This window comes from Homo sapiens, chromosome 2, assembly GCF_000001405.40.
Source record: "Homo sapiens chromosome 2, GRCh38.p14 Primary Assembly".
Taxonomy (NCBI): domain Eukaryota; kingdom Metazoa; phylum Chordata; class Mammalia; order Primates; family Hominidae; genus Homo; species Homo sapiens.
Genome location: NC_000002.12, coordinates 40,555,985 through 40,565,205, shown reverse-complemented (window position 1 = coordinate 40,565,205; position 9,221 = coordinate 40,555,985). Strand labels below are relative to the sequence as shown.

The 9,221-nt window shown below is 35.8% G+C and overlaps 1 long non-coding RNA gene across 1 annotated transcript in view; it reads right to left on the bottom strand.

The window, feature by feature from the left end:
• Positions 1-6,752: 6,752 nt before the first annotated feature.
• The window catches only part of LOC101929667 (uncharacterized), a 46,532-nt gene continuing 44,063 nt past the window's right edge, over positions 6,753-9,221 (bottom strand). Inside the window, exon 5 of the long non-coding RNA XR_007086295.1 lies at positions 6,753-6,865. This is a non-coding gene — a long non-coding RNA (uncharacterized LOC101929667). The remainder of the gene's footprint in view (positions 6,866-9,221) is intronic.

Below are 9,221 nucleotides of genomic sequence, written 5' to 3'. Positions count from 1 at the left end.
CCATTCAGAATGATTTGGCTTCGGTAATGGCATTCTCCATGGGGTCCAATGTAGCTCCTTGGAATGCTCCAGGGGAATTGGGTAAAAAATCCCATCTAGTCATTAAGGATGACTTTGTCTTCCTTTTCTTCCTTAAAGACCTCCTTAGGAGAGGTGATTGTTCAACATCAGAATACAAATATTCCTATGTCTCTTGGTTAAATATTTCTACTACCCATCAACATCCTCAATGCCTTAAAGAGAAAATATAATGCTGACATGCATCAGATGAATACGCTTTACATATTATCAAAACTTGATAGGATATAGTCTAAATTCCTTAATAGAATGTTCAAGCTCTTCATGGTCTGAATCTGCCCTGTACTGTCTAACACAGTGACCACTAACCTTATGTAGCTACTGAGCACTTAAAATTGAGATGTGCTGTAAATGTAGTATACATACTGAATTTTTGAAACTTAATATGAAAAAAGAAGATACAAATTCTTGTAAATATTATTTACATGAATTACATGTTGAAATGGTAATAGTTTAGATACATTGAGTTAAATAAAATATAAAAATTAATTTAATTTTTTTTTGCTTTTTTTAAACAAAGCTACTAGGAAATTTAAAGTTTCATATGTGGATAGCATTTTATTTCTATTGGACAGCACTGGTGTATGTTTTGCTCCTCAACTTGAAGTCATATTCTGCTTATTGCCTTGACAAGGTATTTATGCTTCAGTACTTTGCAAATAGTGTTCTGAATCATGTTTTACAATTGTTCTTCCTCTTTAACTTTCACCCCATTATACCCTATTGCACAAATTGATGACCATGACATGCAATAGATGAATAGCTAAAAAGCATAGTTCATATGTCGCTTCCTTTGCAAAGTCATCTCCGTTCCCTAAGACAGTTAATTGTGCTAATCCTAGCCTTATGTCTACACTTACTGTGAACTTGTGCACTATACTGTAATTATTATGTACATGTGTGTCTGTTTACTTACCTACAAGCCCCTTGAAGTCAGGGACCATGACATATATACTTAACGTAGTACATAGTTTTCAATGAATGCTTCCTAAATGGAATCAAATAGTATTCCTCTATATCCTCTGGTTAATCTGCATGAATATCAACACCTAGTCTATGAACATTACATCAACATAAAGTGGTATTGAGAAGTTATGATACTGCAGAAACTAAAACATCTACTTAAAAATAATTTATATTCCCCTTTCTGTGTCCAAGTGTTCTCATTGTTCAGTTCCCACCTATGAGTGAGAACATGCGGTGTTTGGTTTTTTGTCCTTGCGATAGTTTGCTGAGAGTGATGGTTTCCAGCTTCATCCATGTCCCTAGCGGGGGAGGGATAGCATTAGGAGATATACCTCATGTAAATGACGAGTTAATGGATGCAGCACACCAACATGGCACATATATGCGTACGTAACAAACCTGCACATTGTGCACATGTACCCTAGAACTTAAAGTTTAATAAAAAAAATTAAAAAATAATTTATAAATCAAAACTGAATATGGTCATCAATAATTATATAATCATCATGAACTGTAGCTGCATTTATATACAAAGCAAAATAACTATATAAAAGTAAACAAAAATAAATTTCTGAGAGTTAGTAATTCCTGAAAGTTATTGAGTACTCAATATGTGCATCTCACCACATGAAGAATATGCTGTCTCATACAATGTTCATAATGTATTTTTATCATTCCGGTGTTAGAATAAAATAGGGTAAATCTGACATTGAGCGAAGGTAGTCTGACTTTAGAACTCTTGAACTTCCAATCTTTTGGAAATAAATTATAATATGGGTTTCCCAATAGGTTCAAAGACCACCAAAAATGGAATACTTTGTCACATTCAGATAGACAGGTCTATTTTTCATTATCTGAGTCAGATTCTTTGTCCTTGGTTTGGCTAAGAGTTTTACGGGCATCACAAACATCACTGGGACAGTGCTTTGTAATAAAGATTAAAGGCAGAGAGAAAAATCCCAAAATACATTCTCTATCAGACTCTCAGGTCAGAATATAAACAGGAAACTGGAAGAAAGAAAAGAAGGATGCTACCTTTAAAAATAGCTGACAAAGCTCATGAGGTAGCTATCTGTTTTGTCTTGAATTGAAAATTTAAAATCACAGTTTAGAATTTTTATCTTTTCTACTTCGCTGTGCTATTTTTGGTTAGTATCTATTATGCTTGTATTATTGAATCCTTTTCTCACTGAGTTTTTCTTCCCTTTCCAAAGAAATCTGAAAAATATTGCCAGATTAGTATTTCTGAAAACTGCTTCACATAAACCAATTTTAGGCACAGGACAGCAAGTCCTATGTTGTGTCTAAAATGATCAGGCAAGCATTGGACTGGAATTGCTTCTGTAAAGCCCTTAGAGGTTCGGCACTATCTATAGAATAAAGTTCAATGTCCACCTTCAACAGCCGGACACTGCCTCTTTCCAATGTTCCAATACCCTGCTCTCTTCCCCTATATCTATGTACTTGAATCCTCTGCTCCAAGATTACTAACCGAAACAGCCTTCCAAACCTGTCATCCACATTCTTATTACCCCGTCCTTATTCATAGTATTCTTTCAACCTAAAATGTTATTCAGGACATTTATACAAAACTTATCTTTTCTTACTGAGACATTTCAAGTCTACTGCTTACCTGACCATTTCAGACACAACATAGAACTTTCCCACCCTGCACCTAAAAACTGAGCTGCCTTATTGTTATTGTTGACATCGCTTTGTGTTACGTTCCATACAAACAGACTTTCTTTTCTCAAATGAACAACTACTTTAGGCAAAGTCCATTGGCTATTCCCTTAATATGTTTTACGACACCAAATTCAGGTCTGTTAATATGGGCAGAACTTAGCACACCTTTATTCTGTTAATAAAACTCGTGATCTGAAATCAGTCCAGAATACTGTATTAGCCATCTTTTTCTATCCTGAGTACCTAGTAGGAAGGCATGCCATCAACTTCTCTCCAGAAAAGGAAGAATTTATTTTGGCATTTGGTCTCCCTTGGTCTATAATGTTAAAAGGTTAAATTAGTTATAATGAGGTAATATGGTTCAGATTGCTTTCAGTAGAGCTGTGATTTTCTGAACCAAAATGAAAGCTTTATAACTTCATCATTTAAAAGAAGGCAATGAAAAGCAGTGTTATATAACGAAGGAAATAAAACTTCTTAAAAGCCAAGAAATAAAAATGTTAAAATGAGCAAATTAAAATATTTTTATATTAGAAAAATCCAAATAATGATTTATTACAGTTTCACGTTCATTCAAATCTGTGTTTCAGGAAATGAGGGGAATTTTTTAATATGGAAAGGAGATAAAATAGTAAAATTGCTTTAAAATTGTTCTGAGTATACATAGAAGCAAATACATAAATACTGACACAATTGGAAGAAAAAACTGAAGTGGTTAAAAATATGGCACTGCAATTTAAAATACGTGGATCCAATTTCAATTTTCCCTTTCCAGACACTCTCCTTATATCCACCTCCGCCCACTCTCCCATGCATAACCAAACATACATTATAAAAACTGTAGGTATCTAATTCAAATCTCTCCATTTTATGAGTCTTCAAACAATTTCTATAACATAATAAAAGTAATTTTGTTTCCTTTTGTATTTTTCGGACCCTAAATGTTATTAATATATTTCTGAATGAAAGGATGTCTACACATAGAGCCATTCAGTTTTTCTCTTCATGTTTTCCTCTTAACAGTCAAGGCCTCCCTCTTCAAAGCCCTAGTGGGGCGAGAGGAAAGAGGAACCATGACAATTCCGTGGGCACCCACTTTGCTTTTCAGGGATGCATTTCTGTGTAACCATTGAGCTCCTATTTGCGAAAATGCAGAGCTATGTCTAAGAATCACAATCCCTATTTTCCCTTACTTCAAATGCTAACTTCCTGATATAGACATATTTTCATTTAAAATGTTTTCAGAGGAAAGATGGGAAGTGGGAGTGAAAAAGTGTAATTTATTTTATTTTATTTTGACTTTCATCCACAGTTATATCCTAGCTAACCAAGTTCTCTACCACCTTTACCTCAATGATTTACTCCCTGTGTTCAAGGCCTTACTATGACCTCTTAGACATCCAGAGCAGAAAACTCTGGGTAATACGGTGCGTTCAGCATCTCCCAAATGCTCTTACTTCCTATCTTAATCTACGGCTTCTACCTCCAATGTCAAGATTGGCATGCTCTGTTACAGCTTTCTCAATTTGTCTTCTGTGATTTGTGGTAATGAATTTCAGACCAACTATCATGTTAATCATTCCTAGAATATACATTATCTTACTTCTGTCACAAAGGTATGTTTGTGTTTGTTTGTTTTCAGAAATCAACCCAAGGAGGCACTAGTGAGGCAAACAGGCCTTTTGATACACTGAAAGACCCTTCGGAAAGATATTTCATCTTACGTCACTCAGAAGTAACAAATGTATTATTTTTCTTTTATCACATCAGTCAGTTGTGAAACATACAGTCGAATTTTTACAGTTACAGCCAAATCAAGGTTTTCATTTGACTAGCATAAGAAAAAATGGACCTTATTGGTAGTCCCTATGTCTGAAGAAGATTTAAGAAAATAGGACATATTAACTTAAATTTACATCATAAATATATACTTTAAGGATGTCTGTTCACAGTAAATAGTCTATATCCAGGGGTGAACGGATTGCACAAAACATAACAATGGTTCTCCATTCATTTATAACATAAAATATATGCTAATATATATAATGTTAAAGGTATGTTTACTTAAAAAAAATCAGACATACACAAAAGTAGAGAGAAGAATATAGAAACACCATAGATTCATCACCTAGATGTAATAATAATTATTTAGGTTTGCTACTCTTGCCCAATCTCTCTTTTTTTCAAATTTTTTTCTTTCTTCTTTGGCCTGAAATATTTTAAAATATCAGACATCATGTCATTTCACTCCTGTGTATTTCAGTATGTTTCTCTAAAATAGAGGAATATTTTCTTATATAATTACAGTGCCATTATCACAGTCAACAAACATTAGCAGTAATTCCTTGACACTGTTTCATTTCTAATGCATATTCAAATTTCCCTGTTTTTTTTGCAAAATGTCTTTTTGAAGCTGATTTCTTCAAATGAGGATCGAAATAAATTCTACATGTTATGTCTTTTGAATATCCTTTAATTGGGAATAGGGCCCCTCTGCCTTTTTTTTCCTGCCTTTAAACATTTGTTGAAAACAACTGATTTAGTTGTCTTTTAAAGGGACTCACATTAAAAGTTTTCTTTTTTCCTTATGGTATCTGATAATATGTTTCTCTATCTTCTGTATTTTTAATAAACTCAAATTTAAGTACTTTTGGATAGAACAATTTCTTAAATGGCACTATGGCTTATTTACATGGCCATCCTATGTAGCTGTGGATATCTAAACAGGTGTTTTTGTCCTCTGCAACTGAGAGCCACACATTTGTCAAATGTGCCTCAAATTTTCTTGCCGTTAGGAGTTTCAGGATCTCGCTTCTATCATTGTCTCCTTGAAGCTGTTTCTTCTCAAATTGCACCCTCAAGAAGTGATGTCTCTATTCTCCTGGGTGTCCTCTTTTCCTCTCTCTCTTTCTGCACATATTTTTGTGCTTTCTTTTTAATGTTTTATTTCTATATCCTTACATTGAACAGGAAGTATAATTTCTTCCCATATTCCCTATCCATTCATGCAAAACCCTTATTATCAAAGACAAGACCACTATGATTCATTTTGACTCAGGTTCCAAATAAACATTTAGCAAACATTTTTCAGTGATTATTGTGTGCCAGGCTCTCTGCTAGCTTTGAGAAAATAGAGATGAATAAATCAAAGACCATTCACTCTGGTGGCCTACGGGGGAAGATAGGCAGCCAAATACACCACACAATATGGCCTCAGTGGTACAATGTCGATGCCAATGCCAATTGAGTGCTGTGGAAACAAATGCTTCTAGCCTTTGTAAGGCCAATGAGTGGGTTTATGGCTCCTTACAACACAACGTTATAGACAGCACCTACCAATCATTTGATACAGATTTGCTAGAAAAAAGAGCCAGCACCACATTTTCTGCTCGGTTCCATCCTATGACCTTTTTTATTTGCATCTACCTTTGACCACACCCCTTTCTTTCTCCTTGTCACCACACGTTGAGTTAGATCTCCCGTCATATTGCCACACTTCATATTACACAACTGGTTTTTGCTTCTCTGTCTCTTCCCCCACTGCCCCAAGAGGAGCAGGCACGTGTTAAGAGATGAAGCTAGTTTCGTTTCTTTTTATTTCAATACAATAAGAAATAGGGAAAAGTGGAGATAGAAAATGGAATGTTTGTGTTTATAAATGAATAATTAATATTTATAATTTGTTAAAAAATTAATCAAAGAAAATTTATTTTGGACTTAGATTTCCTAGCCTTGTGCCCATCTACACATGCTCACGCTCACTTGCCGCCATTACCAAGGAAGAAAAAGGGAATCACCATGAGCAGTTTTTCCTCTCCCCCGTCTAGTATTAGTTTGACAACCATATGGATACTGAAGAAAAGTATTTTACTGGATATCCATATTAGATTATTGGGCCCTCATTTATAATGCTGCAAAAACCTCAAAGTTGTCCTGCATGGTCAAGGTCAATGTTCTATTGTAGAGACTACTGCATTCTATCAAGAGCCCTTCTATTTAGTAAAGATTTCCCAAATGCTCACCTGAAAGTTTATTTTAAATAGATGCAGTTGGTTCCCTGGAGAGAAATCCAGTGTCACTAGCTCTGGATAACAGTTATAGCTTCTAGTTTCATTTAGCTTCACAGGCCTTTTAACTGGAAAAAGAAATAAGAGCTAGAATGATACATAAGGAGGTGAGTGCAAAACTGCTTCTCCCTGGGAAGATTTAGAAAACTGACAGGCATGATGTTAAATCTGCCATGTGGACGATAACATCAACTGGAGGAAACATTGCAGATGTTGTTAATACCTGAAAAAAAATAAGACGGAGGAAAAAACCTTTTGTCAGAGAATATCTGTCCTACTAAAAACAGAATTTAAAGCTAGGACAGGATTTTCCACACAGGTCCTTGTAAAGGTCATGTGACCCTCTACCTTGCATTCTGTTTATAGATGAATTATATTTCTACTGTGATTTGTGCAATGATTGCTATTATCCTGTATAAGAACACATTTAAATACCATGCCAGCTCAAATTAAAATAGCTGGACTCTTTCCTACCACTGCTGTTAGAAGAAATAACTAGCATGCTATAAAAATTGCTGTTTGGCCCCGAATTTTGCATAAGGTATATAATGAGCTAAGTTGAAATCTATTATATAGTAGAGCTTAAAGATGACAAACAGCTTTTAAAGCTTGGTTATGTTAAAATAAGAGCATATATATGTATTTGTGTGTGTGTGTGTGTGTGTGTGTGTGTATTTGTGGGTGTAGGAGTGAGTACCAATGGATACACAAAAAGAATTTTATAGCACTTCTTTTCTACAGTTCATTCAGGTATGTGGCAAATCACTCGACCTCCAGTGAACTCATTTATAATGGGTTGAAAATATCCAAAGATGGGAAGACTGCCGGGAAGATAGCAGGAGATGCTGTAAGTGCAGCAGTACTTCCTGCTTCATTGTTCTTTGACCTTTTCTTCATTTAAAGTGATGTTGGTACCTGGAGCAAGGCTGCTAGATTAGCAACATAAGAACTATTCTCTTTTCATTCAGTGGAAATATACCTGGGAAAGTAATGTTAATTTGCTATTTGTACTAACACTGTCAGTAAAAACTAGGGGACATAATAATGTGGTATAGAACTTACCTAGGAGTATTCATCCTAAGATCCCAGTCACAGCTTATTTGTTTATTTGCTCTATTTTACATTTAATGAGAAGAGAATTGAAATCTGCTACTCTGCCTTCAATACTTGCTTGTTGCTGTCAGGGTACAGGATTAAAGGTGCTCACAGTGAGGGAAACACAAACTTCAGAATTCCTCTGGACCCAAGGGTCAGTTATAATAGTCCTGGTATTATTTTATTTAATCTGTCAATAAACCAGTGATACCTGGTGGCTTACCAATGGGGCGAAGCTGGGAAAAGACTCACTGCTACCCTCAATGTCCAAAAAAAAAAAAAAAAAATCACCATCATCCGTATGAGTGATCCTAGTGTGAGGCCGAGCAGTTAATGACAATGGGGCACTCCTTAGTCAGCAGACACAGTCAGGAACAGTCAGAGTTAGCTCTAGTTTAGTAATAGAATCTCCATTCAGAATTCCATTCATGTGAACAGTCTCCGTGAAGAGCAGACAAAAAGTATTCCCTAACAGAAAGAGAAAACGGCACCCAAGAAGAAACAACACAAGCATAACAGTTATGGCAGGTATACTTAGGGTCAGGGCAGATCTGGCGAACTCTCTAAGCAGACACTAGCTCATGGGAGTTTGTGGATAAATCCAGGGCACAGCAAATGACGCATTATTCTCTAGACTCTGCCAGTGCTTGAGGGTCCCCATCTGCTTGCTAATACTATAGAGGACAAAGGACAGCATCATCAACCATGGGCAAAGACAGAGCATGCAGGGCTGTGGCCCCATGGCATTCACCATAACGGGTCACTCTCCCCTTTCTCTCTGGTTCATTTGGCCATTCTGTCTAGAGAGCACCGCAGACACTGTGCACAACAGAGGCTTTAAGTAGCTACTTCTCCATATCCAGAGGTTTAGAGGATTGAGTAAGAATCTAACTTTACATGCTTTTAATACAGCTAATTACAAGCACATGTGTTGTTAGGGCCTCAGTTATTTAGTATATGGGATGTCTTTTTGATATATACTCCTCCAGGGCTTATCTTTCCTTTCCTACTGTTCCCACCAACTTAAGATCAGATTTATCTGAAAGGAATTTTGGCTTATGCATCTATAAATATGCCTATTAATATTTTTTCTGTAAATACAGAAACAACACGTTAGCCTTATCAGTGAAACCTTGGGCCTCTTTACTATCACATTTTCAGCTTGCATTAGGATCATAGTAAACTAGCTAAAGGAAGAAAAAATAAATAAACTGTCATTCTAAAGGTTAGCCTTCTTAATTAAATGAAAACTCACGCAGCAGCATTAGAAAATGAAGTGACTGTAGCCTGTGCTCTTTTTGAGGGGACCCTACAGAGCATCCAGCCCAT